Source organism: Homo sapiens, chromosome 21 (assembly GCF_000001405.40).
Source record: "Homo sapiens chromosome 21, GRCh38.p14 Primary Assembly".
NCBI classification, from domain to species: Eukaryota; Metazoa; Chordata; class Mammalia; order Primates; family Hominidae; genus Homo; species Homo sapiens.
This window is the reverse complement of record NC_000021.9, coordinates 32264346-32291812: the sequence shown is the minus strand read 5'-3', so window position 1 is coordinate 32291812 and position 27467 is coordinate 32264346. Positions and strand designations below refer to the sequence as shown.

The 27467-nt window shown below is 42.9% G+C and overlaps 1 protein-coding gene and 1 long non-coding RNA gene across 5 annotated transcripts in view, besides 4 other annotated features; one reads left to right on the top strand and one right to left on the bottom strand.

Annotated features, from left to right (window-relative positions):
• On the bottom strand, nucleotides 10814-12608 carry MIS18A-AS1 (MIS18A antisense RNA 1). Its single transcript, NR_046576.1, has one exon. It is a non-coding gene; the product is annotated as an MIS18A antisense RNA 1 (long non-coding RNA).
• Nucleotides 12351-12570: an enhancer, noted in NCBI's record as "active region_18360". NCBI's record gives its function as "activates an Ori minimal core promoter by ATAC-STARR-seq in GM12878 lymphoblastoid cells {active_cell/tissue: GM12878}" and the evidence as "EXISTENCE:reporter gene assay evidence [ECO:0000049][PMID:35858748]".
• Nucleotides 12351-13013: a biological region, named in NCBI's record as "H3K27ac hESC enhancer GRCh37_chr21:33651111-33651610".
• Nucleotides 12514-13013: an enhancer, noted in NCBI's record as "H3K27ac hESC enhancer chr21:33651111-33651610 (GRCh37/hg19 assembly coordinates)". NCBI's record gives its function as "activates a minimal SCP1, AML or CMV promoter by ChIP-STARR-seq in primed H9 embryonic stem cells {active_cell/tissue: H9 hESC(primed)}" and the evidence as "EXISTENCE:reporter gene assay evidence [ECO:0000049][PMID:30033119]".
• The window catches only part of MIS18A (MIS18 kinetochore protein A), a 124368-nt gene continuing 109664 nt past the window's right edge, over nucleotides 12764-27467 (top strand). For 3 of the 4 annotated variants that reach the window (XR_002958619.2, XM_017028400.2, XM_017028401.2), the window contains exons 1-3: nucleotides 12764-13132; nucleotides 16917-16983; nucleotides 21284-21406. Coding sequence is in view for 3 of the 4 variants with exons in the window: in XM_017028400.2 (XP_016883889.1) it covers nucleotides 12799-13132; nucleotides 16917-16983; nucleotides 21284-21406 (524 nt within the window). In the remaining variant the exon portion in view is untranslated. Of the gene's footprint in view, nucleotides 13133-16916; nucleotides 16984-21283; nucleotides 21407-22009; nucleotides 22107-22695; nucleotides 23586-27467 lie in introns of those variants that run through there. The other variant, NM_018944.3, reaches the window with a different exon arrangement.
• Nucleotides 13014-13515: an enhancer, noted in NCBI's record as "H3K27ac hESC enhancer chr21:33650609-33651110 (GRCh37/hg19 assembly coordinates)". NCBI's record gives its function as "activates a minimal SCP1, AML or CMV promoter by ChIP-STARR-seq in primed H9 embryonic stem cells {active_cell/tissue: H9 hESC(primed)}" and the evidence as "EXISTENCE:reporter gene assay evidence [ECO:0000049][PMID:30033119]".

Sequence of the window (27467 nt, the reverse complement as noted above, 5' to 3'; positions counted from 1 at the left end):
ACCTGCTGCCTCAGAGTGGTACATTTGTTACAACTGATGAACCAACAATGACAATGACACATCATTATCACCCAGAGTCCATAGTTTACATTAGGGTTCACTGTTGTTGTACATTCTACGGGTTTGGGAAAATGTATAATAACATGTATCCACCATTATCGTATCATACAAAGTAGTTTCACTGCCCTGAAAGTCTTTTATGCTGCACCTATTTATCCCTGCCTAGCGTCTTCCAACAGTAAATAATAAGAAGCTTAAAAAAATTATGCATTTCTGAGGCTGGGCACGGTGGCTCATGCCTGTAATCCCAGCAATTTGGGAGGCCGAGGCAGAAGGATCACTTGAGGCCAGAAGTTCAAGACCAGCCTGACCAACAGGGTGAAACCCCGTCTCTACTAAAATAATACAAAAATTAGTCAAGCATGGTTGTGCACACCTGTAGTCAGTCTCAACTACTCAGGAGGCTGAGGCAGGAGAATCGGCTTGAACCCAAGAGGTGAAGGTTGCAGTGAGCCAAGATCATGCCACTACACTCCAGACTGGGTAATGGAGTGAGACTCTGTCTCAGAAATATATATATATAAAATGCATTTTTGAACTTAAATCTATGTACATTTTGTACATTTCTTGTCCTAGAACAAGCTTGCCATAGGCCACATGTGGCCCAGGATGGCTTTGAGTGTGGCTCAATACAAATTCATAAACTTTCTTAAAACATTATGAGATTCTTTTGCATTTTTTTTAAAGCTCATCAGCTATTGTTACTATTTGTGTATTTTATGTGTGGCCCAAGACAATTATTCTTCTTCCAGTGTGGCCCAGGGAAGCCAAAAGATTGGATACCCCCGCGAACCTTGAATTCAGTCATTTCTCCAAGGAATCCCAGTTCTTAGTAGAAAATGGTATTTAGCTATCATGGTCTAGATGATAGGGGTGCTTGTTGCTACTGGGTTGGTTATAATGTTTAGACCAATTCAATGTAGAGAGCTAGAAAATATTTATTTTTTGAGATAAAAAATAGCATGAGTTCATACTGATGCTTCCACTTCAAAATCACAAGCATGGAGTTTTTACTTAACCTTATCTTTCTTAGCTGTATCTCTTTCTCCAAAACTTAAAATTATATTCCCAACAAGACTAACATAATTACTCAATATACAACGTACACACAAACGACCCCAGAATAGCAATATCAATTCTTTTTTGTCTTTGGAAGAATTTATTATTTTTGTTCTTTTTTTCAAAAACTTTTTATTTCCATAGGTTTTTGGGGAACAGGTGGTATTTGCTTACATGAGTAAGTTATTTAGTGGTGATTTGTGAGATTTTGGTGCACCTGTCACTTGAGCAGTGTACACTGAACCCAATTTGTGGTTTTTTATCCCCCACCCGCTTCCCACCCTTTCCCCCTGAGTCCCCAAAATCCACTGTATCATTTTTATGCCTTTGCATCCTCATAGCTTAGCTCCCACTTATGAGTGAGAACATACAATGTTTGGTTTTCCATTCCTGAATTACTTCAGGAATTACTATTATTCCTGAATAATAGTCTCCAATCCAGTCCAGGTTGCTGCAAATGCCTCTTTGTGGCTGAGTAGTATTCCATTATATATATAATGGAATATATATATGTGGAATATATATATGTGGAATATATATATGTGGAAGATATATATATGTGGAAGATATATATATGTGGAAGATATATATATGTGGACTATATATATATATATGTGGACTATATATATGTGGACTATATATATGTGGACTATATATATATGTGGACTATATATATGTGGACTATATATATGTGGAATATATATATATGTGGACTATATATATGTGGACTATATATATATGTGGACTATATATATGTGGACTATATATGGAATATATATATCACAGTAGATATATACAGTATATATATAATGGAATATATATACTGTATATATATAATGGAGTATATATACTGTATATATATAATGGAATATATATACTGTATATATACAGTATATATATAATGGTATATACATACAGTATATATATATAATGGAATATATATACTGTATATATATACAGTATATATATATAATGGAATATATATATATCTCTCTCTCACAGTTTCTTTATCCACTCATTGATTGATGGGCATTTGGGCTGGTTCCACATTTTTGCAATTGCTATTGTGCTGCTATAAACATGTGTGTGCAAGTATCTGTTTCATATAATAATTTATTTTCCTCTGGATAGATACCCAGTAGTGGGATTGCTGGATCAAATGGTTTTAGTTCTTTAAGGAATCTCCACACTGTTTTCCATAGTGGTTGTACTAATTTACATTCCCACCAGCAGTGTAGAAGTGTTCCCTGTTCACTGCATCCGTGCCAACATCTACTATTTTTTGATTTTTTGATTATGGCCATTCTTGTGTGGGTAAGATGGTATTGCAATGTGGTTTTGATTTGCCTTTCCCTAATCATTAGTGATGTTGAGCATTTTCCATATGTTTGTTGGCCATTTGTATATCTTCTTTTAAGAATTGTCTATTCATGTCCTTGCCCACTTTTTGATGAAATTTTTTTTTTTTTCTTGCTGATTTGAGTTCTTTGTAGATTCTGGATATTAGTCCTGTGTCAGATGTATAGATTGTGGAGATTTCTCCCACTCTGAGGATTGTCTGTTTATTCTGCCGATTTTCCTTTTGTCATGCAAAAGCTCTTTAGTTTAATTAAGTCCCACCTATTTATCTTTGTATTTGTTGCATTTGCTTTTGGGTTCTTGGATATGAAATCTTTGCTTAGGCCAATGTCTAGAAGGGTTTTTCCAATGTTATCTTCTAGAATTTTTATAGTTTCAGGTCTTAGATGTAAGTCCTTAATCCATCTTGAGTTGATTTTTGTATAAGGTGAGAGATGAGGATCCAGTTTAATTCTTCAACATGTGGCTTGCCAATTATCCCAGCATCATTTGTTGAATAGGGTGCCCTTTCCCCACTTTATGTTTTTGTTTGCTTTGTCAAAGATCAGTTGACTCTAGGTATTTGGGTTTATTTCTGGGTTCCCTATTCTGTTCCATTGGTCTATGTGCCTATTTTTATACAAGTACCATGCTGTTTTGGTGATTATGGCCTTATAGCATAGTTTGAAATCAGGCAATTTGATGCCTCCAGATTTGTTCTTTTTGCTTAGTCTTGCTTTGGCTGGGTGGGCTCTTTATTGGTTCTATATGAATTTTAGGATTGTTTTTTCTAGTTCTGTGAAGAATGATGGTGGTATTTTGATGGGAATTGCATTGAATTCGTAGATTGCTTTTTGGAAGTATGGTCATTTTGACAATATTGATTCTGCCCATCCATGAGCATGAGATGTGTTTCCATTTGTTTGTGTCATCTATGATTTCTTTCAGCAGTGTTCTGTAGTTTTCTTTGTAGAGGTCTTTCACCTTTTTGGTTAGGTATATTCCTAAGTATTTTATTTTATTTTTTTGCAGCTAACAATATCAATTCTAACAACAACAACATGCTTACTAAAAATGGTTTAAAATCTTTTTGGGAAAGAGATGGTAGAAATGTATTTATTTATTTTGGTACTTAGGGTATATCTCATGAGATACGTATAGTCAAGTTCATGTTTTAAAATTACTCAAAATAGTTCTTCTCCATGCAGCTATGCCATCCACTAGATATATTCAATATCTACATATTTAGAGATTGCTTTTTTAAAAAAAGATTTTGTTTTATATTTATGTCAAATAGTTACATGATTCCAAAGTCAAATATACAAGACAAGGTACACTTGTGGATCCGTAGTTCCTATTCCTCTTCTGTGTTTCTGTTACTTTCAGCTAAGTAGGCACTTTTAAAAAATGTTTTTGGTATATCCTTCAATTTTTAAAAATATAAGTAAATATGTATGTGTATTAATGTCTTCCCCCTACCTTTTTTTAGATGTCCATTGGCAAATTACATTTAAAAAAAAACATTTTTTTTTTTTTTTGAGGCAGGGTCTTGCTCTGTTGTGCAGGCTGGAGTGCAGTGGCTCAATCTTGGCTCACTGTAACCTCTGCCTCCTAGGCTCAAGCAATCCTCCCACCTCAGCATCCTGAGTAGCTGAGACTACAGGCATGTGCCACCATGCCCAGCTAACTTTTTCTGTATTTTTAGTAGAGACAGGGTCTTGCCATGTCACCCAGGCTGGTGTCGAACTCCTGGACCCAAGTAATCCTCCCACCTTGGCCTCCCAAAGTGCTAAGATTACAGGCCTGACTGAGCCACTGCGCCCAGCCTGCCTTTTTTTACTTAACCGTTTATTCTGGTGTCCCCTCCATGGCATGTAGAGATAAGCCTCTTTCTTTTTCACAGGTACGTAATGTTCCCATCATGTGGTTGTACTACAGCTTATCCATTCACTTCCCAGTTGATGAATGTTTGGGTTGTTTTCAGTCTTTTCCATTTCAAGTAGTGCTGCAATGTCTTGTGTTCATGTTTTACCATATTTTTGCCAGTGTACTTTTGGAATCAGCTCCTAGATGTGAGGTGTGTGTGTGTGTGTGTGTGTGTGTGTGTGTGTGAGAAAGAGAGAGAAAGGATACATATGTATGCAATTGTGTTAGATATTGCCAAATTCCTTTCCATAGAGGTTATAATATCTTGCATTTCTATCAACAATGTATGAAAGTGCCTGTTTTCTTGGGCAACAGTATGGAAAACAGATCATGTTGTCAAACTTCTGGATTTTATCAGGGTGACAGGTGAGCTATTAGTTTTTAGTGTAGTTTAAAAATGAGCATGGCAGAGAATCTTTTCATATATTAAATATTTGCTTTTCTTTTATAGTGACCTATCTTTCTACATTTCTTATTGTAGCATATTTTCAAATAAGAAAAGCTATGTGGCCGGGTGCGGTGGCTCACACCTGTAATCCCAACACTTTGGGAGGCCGAGGCAGGTGGATCACCTGAGGTCAGGAGTTCAACACCATCCTGGCCAACCTGGTGAAACCCCGTCTCTACTAAAAATACAAAAATTAGCCAGGCGTAGTGGTGGACACCTGTAATCCCAGCTACTCAGGAGGCTGAGGCAGGAGAATCACTTGAAACCAGGAGGCGGAAGTTGCAGGGAGCCGAGATCACGCCATTGCACTCCAGCCTGGGTGACAGAGCAAGACTATGTCTCAAAAAAAAAAAAAAAAGCTACGTAAAAGATAAAATTTTCAAGTTCTGTTACATCTGAAAATGTCAATTATACCTGGATCATGATTGGAATGGGTATATAACTCTAGTCTGAAAATCACCTGCCCACTGAACTTTGAGCTTTCTGGCTTCTGAAGTCAGGTTGCTGATGAGAAGTCTAATGTGATCTGATTCTTGCACCTTTTCCCTCTTCTCTGAAACTTTTAGAAATTTCTCTGAAGGTTGGAGTTCTGATAATTTACAATGTTAAGCCTTGGTGTGAGATTATTTCATTTCTTGTGCCAGGAAATTAGTATGCTCTTCCAATCTGAAGATTCATCTTTTAGCTCTGGGCAATTGCATTCCCTCCCTTCTTCCTCTCCTCTTCCCTCCCCTCCCCTTCCATCTCCTCTCCTTCCTTTCTTCCTTCTTTCTTTCCTTTCTCTCTCTCTCCTTTTCTTTCTTTCTTTTTTGACAGGGCCTCACTCTGTTGCCCAGGCTGGAGTGCAGTGACAATTGCTGTCTGTCTGCCTGCCTGCCTGCTGCCTTCCTTCCTTCCTTTTTCTTTTCTTTTCTTTCTTTTCTCTCTCTCTCTCTCTTTTTTTTTTTTTTTTGACACTCTGTCGCCCAGGCTGGAGTGCAGTGGCATGATCCTGGCTCACTGCAGCCTCCGCCTCCTAGGCTTAAGTGATTCTCCTGCCTCAGTCTCCTGAGTAGCTGGGATTACAGGCATGCGTCACTACTGCCCAGCTAATTTTTGTATTTTTAGTAGAGACTGGATTTCATCAGGTTGGCCAGGCTGGTCTCGAACATTTGACCTCAAATGACCCACGCACCTCAGCCTCCCAAAGCGCTGGGATTACAGGCATGAGCCACTGTGCTCAGTCAACTGTATTTTTTTTTAATGATTTTTTCTCTTTATTTTGTGTTCCCTGTATATTTGAACCACCTATTAGTCAGATGTTGGACCTCCTGGACCTATGCCTCTTGTCTTTTCTTTGGCCATTTACATTTCTTACTTATTTGATTATATATTCTGTGAATTCCTTTATCTTTCAATCCTTCAGCTATGGATACGATGTTTCTTGAATCTCTCCAAGAATACTTGATTTGTAATCTTAAGCATCTCTGATATTATTCCAGATTCAGAAGTCACAAAACTCACTTTCTGATTAGTCTGTGCTGTGTTTAGAAAATACCCTTTTAGTTAAAAGGGAGATTTACATGTTTGGCATAGACGCTAAAACCTATTATTCCCTAAGGGCTATAGCATAGCCCTGGTGATCAGTCTTAGCCATCTTCCTCCAGTTGTATAAAAAAAAAAAATGAACAGAACTGTGGGGAAACAAAGGAGAGCTCAGAAAGAAAGTGAGGGGCTGATAGAAGAATTTTACATTGAGAGGCTGGGCACAGTGGTTCACGCCTGTAATTCCAGCACTTTGGGAGGTCGAGGTGGGCGGATTGCCTGAGGTCAGGAGTTCGAGATTAGTCTGGCCAACATGGTGAAATACTGTCTCTACTAAAAATACAAAAAAATTAGCCGGGTGTGGTGGCGTGCACCTGTAATCCCAGCTACTCGGGAGGCTAAGGCAGGGGAATTGCTTGAACCAGGGAGGTGGAGGTTGCAGTGAGCTGAGATCACGCCATTGCACTCCAGCCTGGGTGACAGACTAAGACTGTCTCAAAAAAAAAAAAAAAAAGAAAAAGAATTGGATCAACTGGTCCTCAGATGCAGCTGCAGCCGACTCTTTATGCACTAAAGGAGCCAGCTCACTGATTCCAGCTACCTGTCATCCCATCATGTTAGTGTAAGGAAGCGAATGAAATTAAAATATAGCCATTTGATTGCATTCTGTAGCCATTAATTTTTTTTTTTTGACAGAGTTTCACTCTTTCACCCAGGCTGGAATGCAGTGGTGCAATCTCATCTCACTGCAACCTCCACCCTCCAGGTTCAAATGATTCTCCTGCCTCAGCCTCCTGAGTAGCTGGGACTACAGGGGACCACCACCACAGCTGGCTAATTTTTGTATTTTTAGTAGAGATGGAGTTTCGCCATGTTGGCCAGGCTGGTCTCTAACTCCTGACCTCAGGTGATCCACCCCCTTGGCCTCCTAAAGGGCTGGGATTATAAGCATAAGCCACTGCGCTCGGCCTATAGCCATTAATTTCTGATTTTCCTCAATTGCCAGAGCACTCTTAAAAGGCCACAATTCTCCCAAATTATTAAGATCTCATTTGTTTCTTCTCTTTTTCCTTCTCTCCCCCAGTTATATTTTCTTGCTCTGTCTCTCTCCCCTCTAGTGCTAGCCATTGATATAAATTAGATGAGCATTTGTTTGTTATTTACACTAAAGCTTTCGAATCAAGCCAAAAATTAGGGTTGAATCAGGTAGTTCAAGTAACCCATATGTTGTGCAAGAAAAGACTGCAGGTTATAATAAAAATGGAACTCTCTTTCACATTTTGCCTTCTGCTACGCCCTTAGACCTTCTTCGGTGACGACCGCCTTCCCTGTGGCCCTAGATGAGCACAAGGGCAGTCTGTGTGTGGGATCCCTTCCCATTCACGCTCCACCCTGCTCTTGACCATGGTGAACTTGTATGGATTACATCAATATGCTACGTGCCCTGTGGATTCTGGCTGGATATGGGCAATGGCGAGTTCCAGCAGGAAACTGGAGGGACAGAAGAGAGCGAGGTCAGAGAATTTAATCTCCTGCCTCCCTCCCTATGAGGTCACCCCAGCTGGTGACTGTGACCCTGGATGGAAGGTGATTGTCTCAAGGTGGTCTGCTCTTCGCAACTCTCCTTCTTTCTGGTAACCTCGCCCAGCATCCCTCTAGGTCGAGGGAGGGGTGGTGTTGGCCTCATTGCTTTTAACCTGGATTCCTGTACCATCCCTCATGGTTCTCTCCTACAAACCTTTGCAAAGAATCCCTCCCCACACGAGCAGAATTTTAGTGCATGCTCTCTGTGTTCTTCTAAGGTCCTCTTAGGGAATAGACAATTCTGTAGGCACTTTCATTGCAAACAGAATCCCAGTGAAGAAATGGTAGCGTCAGTCCAAGATACTAATCAACATGGCAATCTTCACTACAGGATGAGAACTGTTTTCCCTTTGCCCCAGGTAGGACATAGGCCGCCTTAGCCTTCCCTGCCTCAGGTGGGGAAGGGGCTGTGGCTGGCCCTGCTCTTTCCCACCTCACCTGTTCCCTGCGGTTTTCATTTCTGCCTAGCCTGAGATGGGGAAAGTGGGGGATAGGACAGTTTTCACTTTGATATGGTTTGGCTCTGTGTTCCCACCCAAATCTCATCTTGAATTGCAATCTCCATGTGTTGAGGGAGGGGCGTGGTGGGAGTAATTGGATCATGGGGGCAGTTCCCCCAGGCTGTTCTCATGATAGTGAGTTCTCACGAGATCTGGTGGTTTTAAAGTGTGGCACCTCCCCTTGGCTTGCTCTCTCTCTCTCCTGCTGCCACGTAAGACGTGCTTTGCTTCCCCTTTGTCTTCCGCCATGATTGCAAGTTTCCTGAGGCCTCCCCAAGCCATGCAGAACTGTGAGTCAGTTAAACCTCTTTCCTTTATAAGTTACCCAGTCTCAAGTAGTTCTTTATAGCAGCATGAGAACGGACTAATACACACTTGAACTTGTTCTAACTTTGTTTTGCACTCTTAGGTAAGATCTAGTTAGACCTGACCCTCTCTCCTAGTCCCCTCGGGGACTCCCTGCACATCCCAAATCCCAGTGCATGCCCATGACCCACTGGGCAAGGCCTCATCTCAGGCTGGCTTTCCCTCTGCCCTGGTTCTCCAGGAGTGCTGTTCACACTTGACTCACCACTGGGGAGTCTTCGTGCTTCCAGGTTAGCTCCTTAGGCAGAAATTAAGACTCTAGGTGACATCCTGCCAGCAAAGTTCCGATCTGGCTGACAACCTACCTTGTTTGCCTTTGTTGTGCTACCAAAACACACGCAGCTTGACGCTCCTGCAGGTCACCCTGTCCCCAAGTGCCTGGGAACCAACAGGTATGTAAGTGTCTCCTCAAAGTCTCTTATCAGCCAAATTGAGGCAAGGAGGCAGATACCCTCATTTTCTCTATTGGGGAGGGGCCCATCTCCAAAGAGATCCTTCCAGTGAAGTCATCTTGGTCACGATTTTCTCCCTTCCTTTATATTCCCAAAGTGTGTGAGAGAGGTGTTTAAGAGAAGGAGGAAATCAGCTAGCATGGTGGCCCATGCCTGTAATCCCAGCACTTTGGGAGGTCGAGGTGGGTGGATTACCTGAGGTCAGGAGTTCAAGACCAGCCTGGTCAACATGGTAAAGCCCCGTCTCTACTAAAAATACAAAGATTAGCTGGGTGTGGTGGCACGTGCCTGTAATCCCAGCTACTCGGGAGGCTGAGGTGGGAGAATCCCTTGAACCTGGGAGGTGGAGGTTGCAGTGAGCTGAGATCATGTCACTGCACTCCAGCCTGAGTGACAGAGTGAGACTCCAAAAAAAAAAAAAATAATAATAAGCAGGAGGAAATCATCTCTCCTAAATCTACTCTGAAGATTCCCCCAGGAAGGAGGGCAATCTCTCTCACACACACTTTGATATCTCATTTTTACTTCATCTTGGAGTCTTAGTGGAAACTTCAATTTTAACATACTGTAACAGATTGCTACATACATTTTTGGTTGCTAGTAAAAACAAAACAACAATTGAAACTGGCTTCCACAATAACTGGAACTGGTTGGCTCACACAACTGGAAGGATCTAGAGATTGGGTGCTGTTTCTCTGTGATTCCCTTACTCAGATTGGGCAAAATTGAACTTGACAAGGCCAAGTTTTTATTCTGAGCCAATCCCTATTGCCAGGGGAGCAGCACGGGTCGCCAGGGGTAGGTGCCATCCCTGCCCCAATCGCTATGGAAGAGTCATGGTCATCCTGATTGATCGGGTTAAACCTCTAGGGACTCATTCCCGGAACTGGTGGTGAGAGTGGTGGAGATGGACTCAACCTTATCCAAATCTCCTAGTTAGATAACTAGGAAGTACGGTGAGAATGTAGTTTAGGAAGCAACCACAACCACAAACTACGAGGTCATCTTTTTCAAGCATCTCATTTTGTCCTCCCATAAATATGATGATTTTGTGGTTAGCTGAGGTTTTGTTTTGTTTTTTATTTTTTTGAGACAGGATCTCATTCTGTCACCCAGGCTGGAGTGCAATAGCATAATCACAGCTTACTGCAGCCTCGACCTCCCAAGCCCAACCCATCCTCCTGCCTCAGCCTCACAAGCAACTGGGACTACAGGGGCGCACCACCATGCCTGGCTAATTTTGAAATCTTTGTAGAGACAGGGTCTCTCTATGTTGCCCAGGTTGTTCTCAAACTCCTGGGCTCAAGTGACTCTCTCGCTTCAGCCTCCCAAAGTGCCGGGGTTACAGGCATGAGCCACCATGGCTAGCCTTGTTTTTATATTCATAATATTAATACAAACACACTTGTGCCTATAGAGGAATTCATTTTGCATCAGCCAACTTCTCCATGATGTGCAGGAGGCATCATGCCTACAAACCATGATATTCTGAAGGACCATGAAAATGTTTCAATTTTTTTAATCAAGAGCAATAAATGAACTTACAGGTCTAAAAATGTTTTATGATATCATTTTAATATAATCATCTTCATAGCAATGTGACTATAAAATGAAATTTTTATTAACTGTTTTATGGAGAGAAAGGCCTACTAAGGCAAAAATAGGGCCCCTGAAAGTCACCACGCAGCTCGGCCTTGTATTCCTTCTTTCCTGGGGCATCCTATCATAGAATTTAAGTATTGACAATAGGAACCCAAAGTCTGAGACAAGATGATCCTTTGAATCCCCAAGTAACTAGCCACTTACTTAAAGAACTCATGTGGATTGTATCAATGTTGTACCAGAGATATTATGCTTGAAAACAACAGTCCAGGAAGGTCAGGCTTGGCTCTACAAAAGTAGAAGGGGCAAAGTATGGTGAGGCATGCCTGTAGTTCCAGCTACTTGGGAGGCTGAGGCAGGAGGATCGCTTGAGGCCAGGAGTTCGAGACCAGCCTGGGCAACATACTGAAACATCATCTCTGAAAAAATAAAGAAAAGAAAAAAAAAAGCAGAAGGAAGGAAGGGAATTCTATGGGTAAAAAAAAAAAGCCTAAATTATCTAAAGCATTTTCTTCCAGTAAGAAGGTGATTAACATGAGCATGGTGTGCCAGGGTTTACAAAGTATTTTCATGAATATTAGAAAACTCGATCCTCATGAACAACTTGGTGTAGTACTGAAGAAACAGACTCCATTTACTCCATGAAGAATTAGACTCAGGGAAGGCAAACAGCCTTTTCCACAGTTCCCTACACTGTTACTACCTTGTGGAGGGAGGGGTAAGTTAACCAGGACCACTGACTCCAAAGCTTTTGCTTTTTGCTAGTGGCTGTAAGCACTAAAATTGGAAGTACATTTACATAAATAGTTTATGCAACCAAGCAAAATAGGCAGTGACTTGGGGGACACCCAGAGCGTAGTAGGAACAGAGTAGGTCCTTGCAGGTAGCTTTCTTCCCAGGTATACCACCAGACTGTCTGTGGTGCAGCTGGCTGGTTCCCCGCCAGCTTTCCCTCCTGACCTACGGTGTTTTAGGCAGAGGCTGGCTTTCTGGGGCAGCTGAGGAAATCTGTCCTTATCATCAACAAGGGATGCTTCTTCCTTGCAAGGACGAATTGTTCCTTGATCCAAGCAGCAGGGACACTTCCAGGCTTTCCAGGGGCACTGCTGCTTCCTCAACTTTTTCCTTGCAGTGACAGCCTGAGTGATCCGGGGCCCTTCCCAGGGTCTCATTCCAGGGATAGCAGTGCGCAAAAGGACCCTGTGATGAGGGACTCCTCTATCCCCTTCCTTCTCCACTTCATGGAAAGGAGGTCCCCAGGAGCCGACAAAATAGAGCAGTGGTCATCAAAAGTGGAGCTGCTTATATACAACTATAATTAGTCCACTTACAAAAAAGAAGAAAAAGGGTGGTGGTCTGGCACAGTGGCTTACGCTTGCGATCCTGGCATTTTGGGAGGCCGAGTAGGGAAGATCGCTTAAGGCTAGGAGTTCGAGACCGGCAACATAGAAAAACTCCCCCCCCCACCCCCCAAAAAAGGTTGGGCTGCCAATACTGACAGCGTGGGCACGCCTAGGAGCTTGTTAGAAATGCAGATTCTCGGGCTAACCTGCTACCTGCTGAACCAGAGTCTGCGAAGATGGAACCTGGCGATCTGCTTAAGAAGCTCGCCAGGCGGTTCTTAGACACTCAAGCTTGCAACCCGTAACTTTCTCAGTGACGCTGCCCCTCCCACGGAAAGGGGTGAATAATCCTTAGGAAGACAAGCAAACAGGTCTGCATCATCAATTTCTTCAGGCTGGAAAACCTGACGCAGGCGCAGTGACTATCACGCTTGGCCAAGGCCGCACGGCGCGCATGCGCACTAGAGGCCGCCCGCCGTCCCGCCCCCTTCAGGCTTTTGCCCCTTCTCGGCCTCCGCCACCGCTCCCCGCCCCGCGCATGAGCAGCGGCGGTTTTTTTTCCCATGGCGCTCTGGGGCGCGGGCGATTTGTAGGTAATGGCAGGCGTTCGGTCACTGAGGTGTAGCAGAGGATGCGCTGGCGGCTGTGAGTGCGGCGACAAGGGCAAATGCAGCGACTCCTCGCTGTTGGGCAAGAGACTCTCCGAAGACTCGAGCCGCCACCAGCTGTTGCAGAAGTGGGCGAGCATGTGGAGCTCCATGAGCGAAGACGCGTCGGTGGCCGACATGGAGAGGGCGCAGCTGGAGGAGGAGGCGGCGGCTGCGGAGGAGAGGCCGCTGGTGTTCCTGTGCTCCGGCTGCCGGCGGCCGCTGGGCGACTCGCTGAGCTGGGTGGCCAGCCAGGAGGACACCAACTGCATCCTGCTTCGCTGTCAGTTGGGTCGAGCCGGGCAGGGGGGGCGTGGGGTCGCCTTCTTCCAGGGGTGCCGCGCGTGGGCGGCCCGGGAGGAGGCGGGGGCTCCTTGGGGCTGCCCAGGGACTTTAAGAGCAAAAAGTCTGAGAGTGTGAGCTGTGGCAGGAAAAGGGGAGGAGGGTCACCCCTCCACTTTGGCTCTCGGGCGGTGGGTTCTTTTCTGGGGTCCCCGATCCCAGAAGAGCAGTGGTTGAATCAGCATCATCGTGAGCATTACTCAGAAACAAAGGGCGACAAAGAATAACACTTTTAAAGACCCTAAAAAAAGAGAAACAAATGGTCAACTAGACTGTAAGCACTTGAGGTGCAGCCAGTACTATTACTCCCCATAGAAATTAGCAGGCTGTTGGTGTATCAGCGGATGCCTCTACAGCCTCCAGTGATAGAGCCGCAGAGTTGACGGAACACAGTGCTATAGGGAAGAAAGGGAAGGAAACTTGCAATAAAAGCACCAACAACCCCATGAAAACTGGCGAGGAAGGAGGATGTAGCAAAAGAGTTCAGAAGAAGGCAGGAATTAGTTTCTAATCCTGGTTCTAGCAGTTACCTCTTACCTCTGTTGTTCCACTGTTCCCTCATTTTGATGTTTTTGCAGTATTTAGGGATAAAGTGGTTCACATATTTTTTATGAATTGGTGTAAGAATGGCTGTTGTTTTTGGATTGTGATTTTTCAAGATGAAGTTTTTTCTGTCTTTGAATGCCGTAAATGTTCCGATGGCAGTAATTCACCACCGGCTTATCGACGTTTCTGGAACGTTTTCCTTGGTGTAATACTGGGAATAAAGGAGCACACCAGTGTCCAGTAGTTAACTGAAAGTTGAGATTAACTCTTTGCACCTATCAAAATCAAACCAGGCCGAGCGCGGTGCCTCAGGCCTGTAATCCCAGCACTTTGGGAGGCCGAAGTGGGCGGATCACGAGATCCGGAGATTGAGACCATCCTTGCCAACATGGTGAATGAAACCCCATCTCTACTAAAAATACAAAAATTCCAGATCAGCCTCGCCAAAATAAAAAATTAGCCGGGCATGGTGGTGTGCGCCTGTAATCCTAGCCACTCCGGAGGCTGAGGCAGGAGAATCACTTGAACCCGGGAGGCGGAGGTTGCAGTGGGCCGAGATTGCGCCACTGCACTCCAGCCTGGAGACAGAGCGAGACAACGTCTCAAAAAAGAAAAAAAAGAAAAAAGCAGATTTTTGGTTAGGTAGGAAAAGCTCTTTGTTTGAATGAGATTCCCTTGTTTACATGTTTTTAAGGAATAACGTGTTTGATGTTACATCTTTCATTTTATTTGTTTGTTTCGATAGAGTGTATTTTTTGCCATGTGGGCTCTTTTCGTTGTTTTGCGTTACTTATAGAAAGACTGTTTTTGTTATTTAATTTTTATAACAATAGCTTTTAAATTTAAAACATAGTTCTAAAATAGTAGTTTAAAATTTAAAGAACTATACATTTTTTGATTTATCAGATTTAGATAATAGGATTTAACACCTCCCCACACCCCCCAGTAAAGACAAATAAATGAACTCGGATTCATTTCCATTCCTTCCTTACCCAATTTGAATTAGTTTAATTATTTTCATTTTGTCAAGGTTTATACATTTACATTCTGTACATTTACATTCTGTTCTGTAGCTATAACAGCCTAACTATGATTTTTTAAAATAGGATTATTTATTTAATAGGTTTTTTTTTAATAGGGTTATAGTGGGTTAACAGCCCTCTGTTGCCCAGGTTGGAGTACAGTGGCGCAATCATAGCTCACTGTATGTAACCTTGAACGCCTGCTCAAACTATCCTCCCGGCTCAGCTTCCCAAGTAGCTTGGGACTACAGATACACACTAACACCTGGCTAATCTTTAAATTTTTTGTAGAGACAGAGTCTTGCTATGTTGCTCAGGCTGATCTCAAACTCCTGGCCCCAAGCAATCCCCTGCTTCGGCCTCCTAAAGTGCTGGGAGTACAGATGTGAGTTACAGCACCCAATCCTATAAAGTTTATATAAATTGTTTTCCCAACTCCAGTACTCATTAACATAAAAAAGCTTCTTAATAGCTTTTTCATTCCTGAATTGTTTGATTAATCATTAGTGCTCCCCACGTCCACATCTCCAAGAAAATTTCAAGTTTATGTGCTAGAAAATATTTTCCTTTTTTTTTTTTTTTTTTTTTTTTTTGAGACAGAGTCTCACTGTGTTGCCCAGGCTGGAGTGCAGTGGTGCAGTCTCAGCTCACTGCAAGCTCCACCTCCCGGGTTCACGCTATTCTCCTGCCTCAGCCTCCTGAGTAGCTGGGACTGCAGGCTCCCGCCACCACACCCCGCTAATTTTTTTGTATCTTTAGTAGAGACGGGGTTTCACCATGTTAGCCAGGATGGTCTCGATCTCCTGACCTCATGATCCGCCTGCCTCGGCCTCCCAAAGTGCTGGGATTATTTTCCTGTATTTATAAGTGAATGCTAGCTTGGCTGCAGGTACAGTTCTTGGTCACGCTCTTTGCTTTTGACAGGTGCTGAGCAGCTGGTGCAAAAGCCTTGAGACTGGTTAAAGAGAATAAAGATAAGATTTAGGGAGGAAGGAAGAGATCAGAAACTGCAAGGCGTTGTAGTCTGTTCTAAAGAGTAGTAATCTGTTCTAGTGAGTACGTTATTATGCTAGCTTAGGCAGGGGAGTAATGTGACCCCGCATTTTCTTTGGAGAAAGCATTGAAGGAGGAACAAGTATGGAAGTGGGGAGGTTAGTGAAGAGCCAGGGCAGTAGTCCAGGCAAGAGGTGGTGCTGGTGGTTTGGGGGCTGGAGTGAAGTTTGTGAGGTAGAATTGATGGGATGGATCAGTGGAGTAGATACAGGGGAGCAGGATGAGGAGACAAAGAATCAAGGATGACACCCTGGTTTCTGATTTCAGCAAGCAGGTAGATGGAGTTGGAGTTTACCGAGTTAAGGTAGACTGTAGGAGGCCGTGAAATCAAGAGTCTGTTTTGGCCATTTTAGGTCAGATGTCCCTTCTTCATTTCTCTTCACCCTCTACCCTGTCCTTTAGTGTTTCCTAGAGCTGGATTCTTTGGGAATGTTTGCTGCTGCCTCTGAAGTCCAGCAGTGACCTCTGTCCAAGTCATTGTTCAAGTAAAAGATGTGTGGCTGGGATCCTGAGGACCCTCTCAGTTACTTTTAGAGAAATGGGCCCTGTGTTTGAAATCTGGAGATATATGTGTTGGCTGTTTGCATCTTCCTAGGTTTGGAACCCAATTTCACTATCTGGCAGATAATTCTTTGCAGTGTGTGATTTGAGGTTCTACTTGTTCCAAGTTTACTGTGGAATGAATTTTCCCCTCTAATTTTAGCCATTCTATTAATGTTAGTGGTTTTCAGGGAAAGGGAGGAAATAACCTTTTAAAATTTTTCTTAAATTTTTATTTAAAAATTTTTTTTTAGAGATGGAGTCTCGTTATGTTGTCCAGGCTGACCTCGAACTCCTGGCCCCAAGCCATTCTCTCACCTTGGCCTCCCAAAGGGTTGGGATGACAGGTGTGAGTCCCTGCGCCTGGTTGGAAATAACTCTTATTCTGCTATCTTTTCCCAGAAGACCCCAGTACATTTAGTTTTAAACCGCTCTTTTGTGTGTTTGACTTTGGGCTTATTTTTTGTCCTCCGAGTTCTAAAAAGTTGGATTAGAAACTCTCTGTCTGCAGGTATGTTATAACGAACTACATTAATAAATTATTGTTACTTTCTCTGTTTCTAGGTGTTTCCTGTAATGTTTCTGTGGATAAGGAACAGAAGCTATCCAAACGTGAAAAGGAAAATGGTTGGTGAGTAAAACTGTATTTATATGAATATGTTAGAGAATTTTCTTTAATAAAAATCTTTAAAAGGTCATTACTAGTAGTAAGATTACTTGGGATAAAACTTTTCATGATAGTAAAAAAATCAGTCGTTCGCATATATCAGTTCTTTTTTTTGCTTTTTCTATATCCTGTTTTAGAAAGGAATATGTTAGTTCTTGAGTGGTTGTGGTCACCTTTAGATATTGAAAAGTTAGAGTTTCTAGATTTCTAAAAGCATATGCTGACATTCCCTTTTTGGATCTTTGGGCTTGGTGCTGAAGAAAATCAAAAATAAAAATAGAAAAAGAAGGTCGGGCACGGTGGCTCACGCCTGTAATCCCAGCACTTTCGGAGGCCAAGGTGGGCAGATCACCGGGGGGTCAGGAATTCGAGACCAGCCTGGCCAACATGGCAAAACCCCGTCTCCACTAAAAATACACAAATTAGCCGGGCATGGTGGTGCGGGCCTGTAATCCCACCTACTCAAGAGGCTGAGACAGGAGAATCACTAGAACTACGGAGGTGGAGGTTGCAGTGAGCCAAGATCGCCAGTGCACTGCAGCCTGGGCAACAGAGAAAGACTCCGTCTCAAAAAAAAAAAAAAAAAAAAAAAAAAAGAAGAAAAGGAAATACCTATATTATAAAATCTCAATGTTAAAGGGTGCCTTAGGCTAATGCTGCCCAACTTTCTCATGTTATGGCACACACATAAAATGCTGCTGTCACACACACAGCCTATTGGGGTAAACAGACAAGGCTGTTTGTGGCAAGAGCAAACAACACAGGAGCTCCAGCAATCTGAAGCCCTGTGTGGCCACTTTAAGGGTAGAGGGGACAAATATCTTGCCATACCTGCCACCCATGTGCCATAGTGACGCCTGAGCAAACTGAGTGGGAAGCGCTGCCCTATATAATTGTTGCTGCAAATGTAAACTGTATCTTACACTTGCGTATGAAATAACTTTAGGTGGTACACAGTTAAACAAAAATTAATTATGTGTATATTTTAATGTGTATTAAAAATACTGGCTTTTCATTTTTAGTGATGCTAGAGTATCCTATCAAATAAAGTATATTTCAATTTAAAAAAAATTACTCTGTGCACTTATGACCAAATACCTCCTGATGACCCCTCCTCCCAATACCATCACATTAGGAGCTACCATTTCAACTTATACATGTGGTAGGGGACAGAAACATTCAATACTTAGTCGCTCCTAAAACCCTTTCGATTTCTTGAGTGATGGGGTGATAAGGGTATCTTTTGTTACCATGTTTGGTCTTAGTCCCCAGTTCTGACAGAAGAGCTTCTAAGATGCTTGGAATCTCTGGAGTGATAATAATGTCGTTTTTAATCCTAATGAGGTGACTGTGGCTGGGGGGCTTCTATGTAGCTTCAGGATTGGGGGCCAGAAGGACCAAGGCATGATTAGAGGGTTGGAAGTTTTGGCCCTACCCCAACCTCTTCTCCTACCTCCATCGAGGGCAGAGGGGCTAGAGATTATCAGCAATGGTGTAATTAATCATGCCTGTGTTATAAAACCTCCAAAAAACCCATGGGTTTTAGAGAACTTCCAGATTGGTGAATATGAGATGCCGGGAGGGTGGTGTACCTAGAAAGGTCTTGGAAGCTCTGTGTCCCCCTTCTGTAACCTTTGCCCTATGTATCTCTTCCATAAAAGTGAAAAAAAAAAAAAAAGAAAAAAAGTTTCTCCATTTAAGATAAATTAGTAATAGTACAGATGGTTTGTGGATGTGACAGAAATTGTGGTGCCGGCATGCAGGCCATAAAAATTTGGAAAACCCACCTCAGATCATTTCTCATTTGGTAGTTGAAGAAAGTTAGGCCCAGGGAGGCTAGAACTTTGCTAAGGTCACAGGACTAATTAGCAGTAAGAGCTAGGATGATGCTTGTTACCCTTCCTTACTGCCTTCGAAGTGCTCTTTCTTCTCCACTTTCTAGCTCTAGCTCTAGCCATTTTGATATCACCATCATTTTTGTCCTATTTGTGTACCAGGTACCAACTGTGCTATTACATACTAAATTTTTAAAATTAAATCAACTCAAAATTTTTATTTAAATTTGTCTTAAAAGGATTGTTTTTACTATCATAAATACATACTTGCCATAACTAGAAAGTAACTCTGAAGATAATTACAGTGAAAACAAATGTTATTAGTTCTAGCTGAGATGTTGTTGCCTGGCTGGTTCTCTGCCTGAGGTCTGTTCTGTTACTATTAAAAGATTTGCGACTATGAGACAAGTGTCAAAGACAGTCTAGCACCAAACCGAGACTTTCTTCTTTTTTCTAATCAGGATTGATAGAGAATTCACTCTCTTTGATCCAGAGTTATTAATACTGTTTGTATCACCTAAACCCATCGATTAGACTGCCTTCAGTTGTCTTGGACTTCACTAGGGTTGTGTGCTGCACACTCCCGTGTTGCTTTGGGATGCTTGTGAATTTTTTGATACCTGCCTGAGCCTTTCTGCTGATGGTCAGCAAGAGCACTGTGGGCTTTAGAAATATGTTGTGAAGGTGCCAGTGCTGTTTTCTCTGTTAAGTCTGACTTTGTCCTTTGTTGAGGATCTTAACAATCGGATTATTCCTTGTCTAACATCACCTTACGATTATTGGCACTGCCTTCTCAATGTTACTGTTCAATGAAAGGGGTGAATGCTGGCCAAATTCTTGCCAACTGTGAAAGCGGAAAGTTGCTGCCTTAATACTAGCTACCATCTCTTCATTGCTCCACAAGATGATTCTAGAAGTGTGAATGGGTTTGTTCCTATTTTTGGTGGTGTTTAGGTTGATTTTGATAACTCGGGATAAAACAGTCTTATTCATGGCTCAGTGGATTTGGGGAGTTCAAGCCTCTGGTTTCTCTGAGTGTCCTTTCTTGGCTGATGACATTAGATATTAGTTTGCAGTCTTGGTAATGGTGTGAGGCGGTCTTATAATGGTAATGAGGTTTGATATATAGCATGGAGGTTTACCTGTTCACTGTGAGTAATTTAAGTGGGATTTACCGACATGCTTTTTATTTCTCATATAAACATTTAAACAAGCTGGCTGGGTATGGTGACTCCTGCCAGTAATCTCACATTTGGGAGGCCAAGGTGGAGGATTGCTTGAGGCTAGGAGTTCGAGACCAGCCTGGGCAACATAGCGAGACTATTTCTACTATAAAACTAAAATATAGAAGCTTATAAAAGCCCGTAGACACTTAATATGTAATCAGTGGCATACTATCCAGCTAATCACATCATCAGTGAGAATTCATGACTTAATCAGATGGTGATCCATTTTGTTCTTTGTTCCATATGTTGCTGTAATAATTAACAGTGTCTCAGTATCTGTAAGTAAACAATGATGTAGTCTATAATCTGTGAGTCTTGGGTAGCTCCCTTTTGCTTGATAGCAGGAATGGATATTTAGTGATTACAAGTGTTTCACATACTGAGTAGGAGTTAGAATACTTTTGTAATAAAAATCGTTTGTGGTGTATGTTTTACTACTGTGATCACTACTAGATTTAAATCTCTAGTTATCATTTTGCTATGTGTTGGAATGGTAATTTTAGTATATTTATAGAATGGTAAATTTGGATGGGTCAGTTCAACAAGGCGTTTGGGAGACACTGGATTCTAAGCCAGGTTTTAAGGAGACATGAATAGGCTTTGGGGGAGGGTATATTCAAGTGTGTGGAACCTGAGTTGAGAGGTAACTAGAATGAAGAAACAATTACATGGGTTGTCATCTAACTTTAGAGACTTTTTTTTTATTAAGCCAAGCAGTATTACCTTCCACTAGAGCAGAGTTTGGTAAACTATGGCCCATGGGGCGGGCACCCATTTGTGAATACGAGTTTATTGGAACACAGGTTATTCAGTTAGTATTGTCTATAGGTGCTTCCGTTTTACAATGGCAGAGGTGAGTAGTGACAGACACCAGATGGCTGGCGAGGCTAAAATATTTATTCTCCACTTTGTTACATTAGTACCAGATGGAGGAATTTATATTCTAGAAAAACACCACCTCAATATTCTCTCTTGTCACTTTTTTGTATGTCCCTTGTCATTTGATACTTAAGGCATCGTGGCTGTCTTTACATTTTTATTGTAAATATCTTACTATCATTTTTTCCTATCCTTTATGTATGACCTAGTGTGGTCAGAATAGCATACTTGAGAAACTGAGGTGTTTATGGATTTTAACAGTGAGATTTTTATTATAATGAGTTGCTGCTTCGTTTCCTAAAGCAAGACATTTCTTTATTGCAGCGTCCTTGAGACTTTGTGCTGCGCGGGGTGCTCACTCAATCTTGGCTACGTGTACAGATGCACGCCCAAGAATCTTGATTACAAGAGAGACTTGTTTTGCCTCAGTGTTGAAGCCATTGAAAGGTAAGTTTGATATATAAATGTTTACCTCACAACTGGTGTTTCAGAAAGTTAAGGCACGGAATTGTCAGAACTAAATCAATACTGTTTGGTTAAATATATTTTCAAGTAATGATTTCTAACAAGCCAGTAATTTTTTTTTTTTTTGCTTTGACCTCCTTCTTTATTTGGTATTGGAAAAGTCAGACACTCTAAATTGTAGGAGAAAACACTGTGAGAAAATTTTTGGAATAAAAGTATATTCAGTTGTTTTTAAAAATTGAAAGTAGTTCAGTAGGATATTGCCCCCTGCCCCCAGCTTTTTATTTTTATTTATTTTAAAACTTATTTTTTTAAGATATGGGGTCTCACTCTGTCGCCCAGGCTGGAGTGCAGTGCTGTGGTCATAGCTTTCTGCATCCTTGAACTCCTGGGCTCCAGCGATCCTCCTGCCTCAGCCTCCCAAGTAGCTAAGACTACAGGCATATTGCCCGGGGTCTTGTGTTGCCCAGGCTGGTTTCAAACTCCTAGCCTCAGATGATCCTTCTGTCTCAGCCTCCTGAATAGCTGGGAACAAGTGCATGCCACCACACCCAGCTTGTATTTTAACCTTGTACCGTACTTCAGTTATGTTTTAGGGTCCTCTGAAAAGCAAATTGTGTCAGAAGATAAAGAGCTTTTTAATCTTGAAAGCAGAGTTGAAATAGAAAAGTCTCTAACACAGGTAATTTTATTCTGTACATTTTATATCTTTGTATGAACAGTTTGTCAGTGAAGAAGTGCTCCCCCACAAACGATAATTCTCATAACGTCATCTGTGTTGATTGCAGGAAGAGTGTGCTTATTTCATTTCAGTTGTTAGTAAAGTTGATTTTTGGGGAACTCAAAAGCTAAAGCTTAATCAACAAAATAATGAGGAAGACATGTCATGTCAAAATCAAAACTATATATTAAAACACTGCAAAGCTAGAAATACATCTTTGATTCAAATCAGTATTTTGTTTGATTCAATTCTTGTGGTATAAATAGCCTTGTTGTTGGATGTTAACATTTTCTCATTGCCAGATAGGTGAGATGGTGATGATTGTATAAAAGAGATGTAGATTATAGGTTGAGAACTACTGTTGATAGAATTATGCTTTATTTTTAAAAAATTTATGCCTCTAAATAGTTTTGTTAAACACTGAATATCTACCTTGTAATGTATGACATATCCAAAATTGCATTAAGTGTATATCTTAATTATATTTAACCATGTATAATTTTTAATTATATGTGTGTTTCTTTATTTTTTTATTTTTTAAATTCAATAGATGGAAGATGTCTTGAAAGCATTACAAATGAAGCTGTGGGAGGCCGAATCCAAATTGTCCTTTGCCACTTGTAAAAGCTGAACTCTAGTCTGTGTCCTCCATTCTGCCCCCGCCCTTCCTCCCCTTATTTGTTAAATGAAGCAACATAGTGAGACGTCGTCTCTACAAAAAAAAAAAGAAAAAAAAAATTAGCCAGGCATGCGAAACGCTGAGGTGGGAGGATCAGATGAGCTTGGGAGGTTGAGGCTGCAGTGAGCCTTGGTCATGCCACTACTGTGTTCTAGTCTGGGCAACAGAGTGAGACCTTCTCTCAAAAAAAAAACCCAAAATTGTAGAATTACTTCTATAGCTATATTTTATGATAAAGAAGTGATTGTTTCTCAAAATCGCATTTTAAAGACGTTTTATGGTACTTGTTGGAATTGGGACTTAGGAGTTTTGATTTTGATAAGAAACTGGGATAATTTTCTGAACTTTTTTTCCTCTGTATCACATTTATTTACTATTTTTAAAAACTTTGACATTTAACACTTGGGACAACATTTATTATAAATGATAAGAAAAATCTTAGAGGTTTGTCTACCCACAGTGTCATGGAATCTTCTCTGAAAACTAATCCATAAAGTTCCCTGGAGAAATTGGTCAGAATGATCTGTCAGAACCATTTGAAAACTTGCTCAAGAGCAGTTGCTTATATATAGTAGGATTTTACTTTTTCCTGCTTATGTACTACTATATGCTTAAAAAACCTGGAGGAATACTTACCAAAGAGGAGTAACCATCTCTGAGGGTGGGATTCTGGGGGAATTTTTGTTTTTTTCTGTTTTCTATAATGTGAAACTTTTGTAGTATGTATTTTTCTAATTGAAGAGAATAAAGATTAAAACAAAGTGCTTTAAGATTGATTTTTACAAACTGAATTGTATTTAACTGAGATCAGAAATCCTGGTGCTGTGAAATCCACACATTACTGAGCATGGCAGTGTGGAAGGCCTGCTCAGGAATATAAAGGTAACCCCAAATTTCCCCAGACCCCTTTGTTTCTGGGTGTGAGTGAGGTCACGGAACAGTACTCAGTGGTATGAGTAACTCAGCGTTTGCTCCGAAGTTCCCTGATTACTTGTGAGAATACTAAAGTTCTCAGAGCAAAAGGTCCTAAGTCACATTGACTGGATCATGCAGGATTCTTCTGTTCTTTCTGAGAGATTGTCGACAGCCTCAGTTAACGTTGAGTGAGTCCTTTAGGCGTTCTCTCTCGCAGGCTACTCTCCCACTAACAGACTATGGTGCTGTGGAAGCAAACGTCAACACCCGCTGGCAACAAGGCAGCATCCAGCTGCAGTAAGCTCGATGTAGTCCCAGGTGTCTGTCCTCTTAGGTGCTTTGGTGGCACCTTGTGTGAAAATGCATTCTAAACAGATGAGAGAGTATTTTAGCCACAAGACTCAGCTGACTCTCTGGTTGTGCAGGTTACAGAGTACTCCAGCAAGCATTTTCAGATTCCATTCCAAAGCCATAGGCAATTTGGCTCCCCGATTCCTTATACCCTGTTCATACTAGGGAAGGAAGGGGCTGTACAATATTTGTAGCCAGTTCACTCATCTTGAAAACTCATTTCACCAATGAAAAGTAATTTCTAATATCTTGGTACTAATTAAGATTCTGTTACAGATCAGAAGATAAATGTAGCTCATGCCTTAGTGGCTGCCTCTAGAGTGGGCCTTTGATTACCTTTCCATCTCTGCACGTGTATTCCTGTTAGGGTTCTTCACATGAAGTTAACGAGGCTCCCTTGGGCTGCAGACAGAAGCCAGCACACATTTGTATTACATGGTCTCCACTGAAGCATCTGAACGTCAATCCAGGAAATACTGTGTTTCATAAGACAGTCTTCATCTTTGGCCTCAACCTGTGGCATCCCTGAAGGGGTGGCCTTGCCATCACAGTGAGAGGGACTTCCAAGGCTGGGGTCCAGGTGGGAGTGCTGCATCCTGTCTGTGCTGCATGGTGACACTGGCAGGAGAGGGGACTTCCCCTGTTGTGGGCCACCCTGTCCTGGGCCGCTTGTTTCTCTGAAGCCTGGTGGCATGGCTTTTCTGGCTTTCTGTGAGGTCTCATCAGAACGTGTGTGTGTGTGTGTGTGTGTGTGTTTAACTTGTCCCATATATCCACCTGCTAAAACCTACTACTTGAGGCAACAAGTTTTTGTTTCTTATAATTGGAAAACCCAGTGTGTGGTCGTTTCTGGTAAATGAGCCCTGGGGAAGCACTGCCTGTGAGCAGGAGTAAGGGTCCAGAAGCAGTGTGTCCGGAATTGGTGGGTTCTTGGTCTCACTGACTTCAAGAATGAAGCCGCGGACTCTCGCAGTGAGTGTTACAGCTCTTAAGGTGGCGCGTCTGGAGTCTGTCCCTTCTGATGTTCAGATGTGTTCGGAGTTTCTTCCTTCTGGTGGGTTCGTGGTCTTGGTGGCTCAGGAGTGAAGCTGCAGACCTTCGCGGTGAGTGTTACAGCTCTTAAGGCAGCGCGTCTGGAGTTGTTCGTTCCTCCCGGTGGGCTAGTGGTCTCACTGGGCTCAGGAGTGAAGCTGCAGATCTTTGCGGTGAGTGTTACAGCTCATAAAAGCAGCGTGGACCCAAAGAGTGAGCAGTAGCAAGATTTATTGCAAAGAGCGAAAAAACAAAGCTTCCACAGTGTGGAAGGGGACCCGAGCAGGTTGCCAATGCTGGCTCGGGCAGCCTGCTTTTATTCTCTTATCTGGCCCCACCCACATCCTGCTGATTGGTAGAGCCGAGTGGCCTGTTTTGTCAGGGCGCTGATTGGTGCGTTTACAATCCCTGAGCTAGATACAAAGGTTCTCCACGTCCCCATCAGATTAGTTAGATACAGAGTTTCCACACACAGGTTCTCCAAGGCCCCACCAGAGCAGCTAGATAGAGTGTTGATTGGTGCATTCACAAACCTTGAGCTAAACACAGGGTGCTGATTGGTGTATTTACAAACCTTGAGCTAGATACAGAGTGCCGATTGGTGTATTTACAATCCTTGAGCTAGACATAAAGGTTCTCCACGTCCTTGCCAGAGCAGCTAGATACAGAGTGTTGATTGGTGCACTCACAAACCTTGAGCTAAACACAGGGTGCTGATTGGTGTATTTACAATCCCTGAGCTAGATATAAAGACTCTCCATGTCCTCACCAGAGCAGCTAGATACAGAGTGCCGATTGGTGCACTCACAAACCTTGAGCTAAACACAGGGTGCTGATTGGTGTATTTACAATCCTTGAGCTAGATATAAAGACTCTCCACGTCCCCACCAGACTCAGGAGCCCAGCTGGCTTCACCTAGTGGATCCCGCACCGGGGCTGCAGGTGGAGCTGCCTGCCCGTCCTGTGCCCTGTGCTCGCATTCCTCAGCCCTTGGGTGGTCGATGGGACTGGGCGCCATGGAGCAGGGGGTGGTGCTCGTCGGGGAGGCTCGGGCCACACAGGAGCCCATGGAGTGGGTGGGAGGCTCAGGCATGGCGGGCTGCAGGTCCTGAGCCCTGCCCCGCGGGAAGGCAGCTAAGGCCTGGCGAGAAATCCAGCACAGCGCCGGTGGGCCGGCACTGCTGGGGGACTCAGTACACCCTCCGCAGCCACTGGCCCAGGTGCTAAGTCCCCCATTGCCCGGGGCCAGCAGGGCTGGCTGGCTGCTCCAAGTGCGGGGCCCACTAAGCCCACGCCCACCCGGAACTCCAGCTGGCCCGCAAGCGCCACACGCAGCCCCAGTTCCCGCTCGTGCCTCTCCCTCCACACCTCCCTGCAAGCTGCGGGAGTGGGCTCCAGCCTTGGCCAGCCCAGAAAGGGGCTCCCACAGTGCAGTGGGGGGCTGAAGGGCTCCTCAGATGCCACCAAAGTGGGAGCCCAGGCAGGGGAGGTGCCGAGAGCAAGCGAGGGCTCTGAGGACTGCCAGCACGCTGTCACCTCTCAGCAGGAGGCGGATGTCCCAGGCCAAACCACACGGGACCCAGCAGAGGCTTCAGACAGATCTCCCCAGAAGTTACTCCTTCGGCCATTCTCATAAAGGGCACTCCCTAGTTCTTTAGGGAGAAGATAGGGAAACTGATTCCAGAACCTGGTATGCGGCCTTTAAAGATTGTTGTAACTGGATGTTTGTAGAACATTGTGCCTGTTTTTCATCCCAGAGTGTGGGTGCTGTCCTTGGCAAGTTCTCCAGTCATGCTCATACATTTCCAAGCTAAAGAGTCCACTGGAGGCACCATTCTGTGTAGCATCGATGCCTGAATGGCATGTGTCCTACCCGGATGATTCTAGTCAAGCATGGGACATTTAAAATGCTCAAGACCAGGAGAGGGACCCGTTGCAGAATCAGATCTAGGTTTTCAGTAGGAACTTCTTAAACCAAGGAGCCATGAGCAAAGCTTCCCCCAGCTTGTTTTTGAAGGAGGGTCTTGGGGGTAGCAACCAGAAATCCAGGGTCAAAGTCCCAGTTTAACTGCTTTATTAGCCATGTGATCAGGGGCAAATCATGTAATCATCTGTTTTTGCATCTGTATAATGAAAGTATAATAACCTGTCTTCCCTGCGTCAAGGATGATCAAATTAGATAATGCATATGACACTACTTTGAAAGCAGTAAAACATCATAAAAATAAAGGATAAAGATTTAGCCTTATTTAAATAGAGTCAATCTGATTCAGTCTTGTAGCCAGTCTATACATAATCTGAAATGCTATATATTTTTTCTAAACTATATAACATTTATTGGCTTT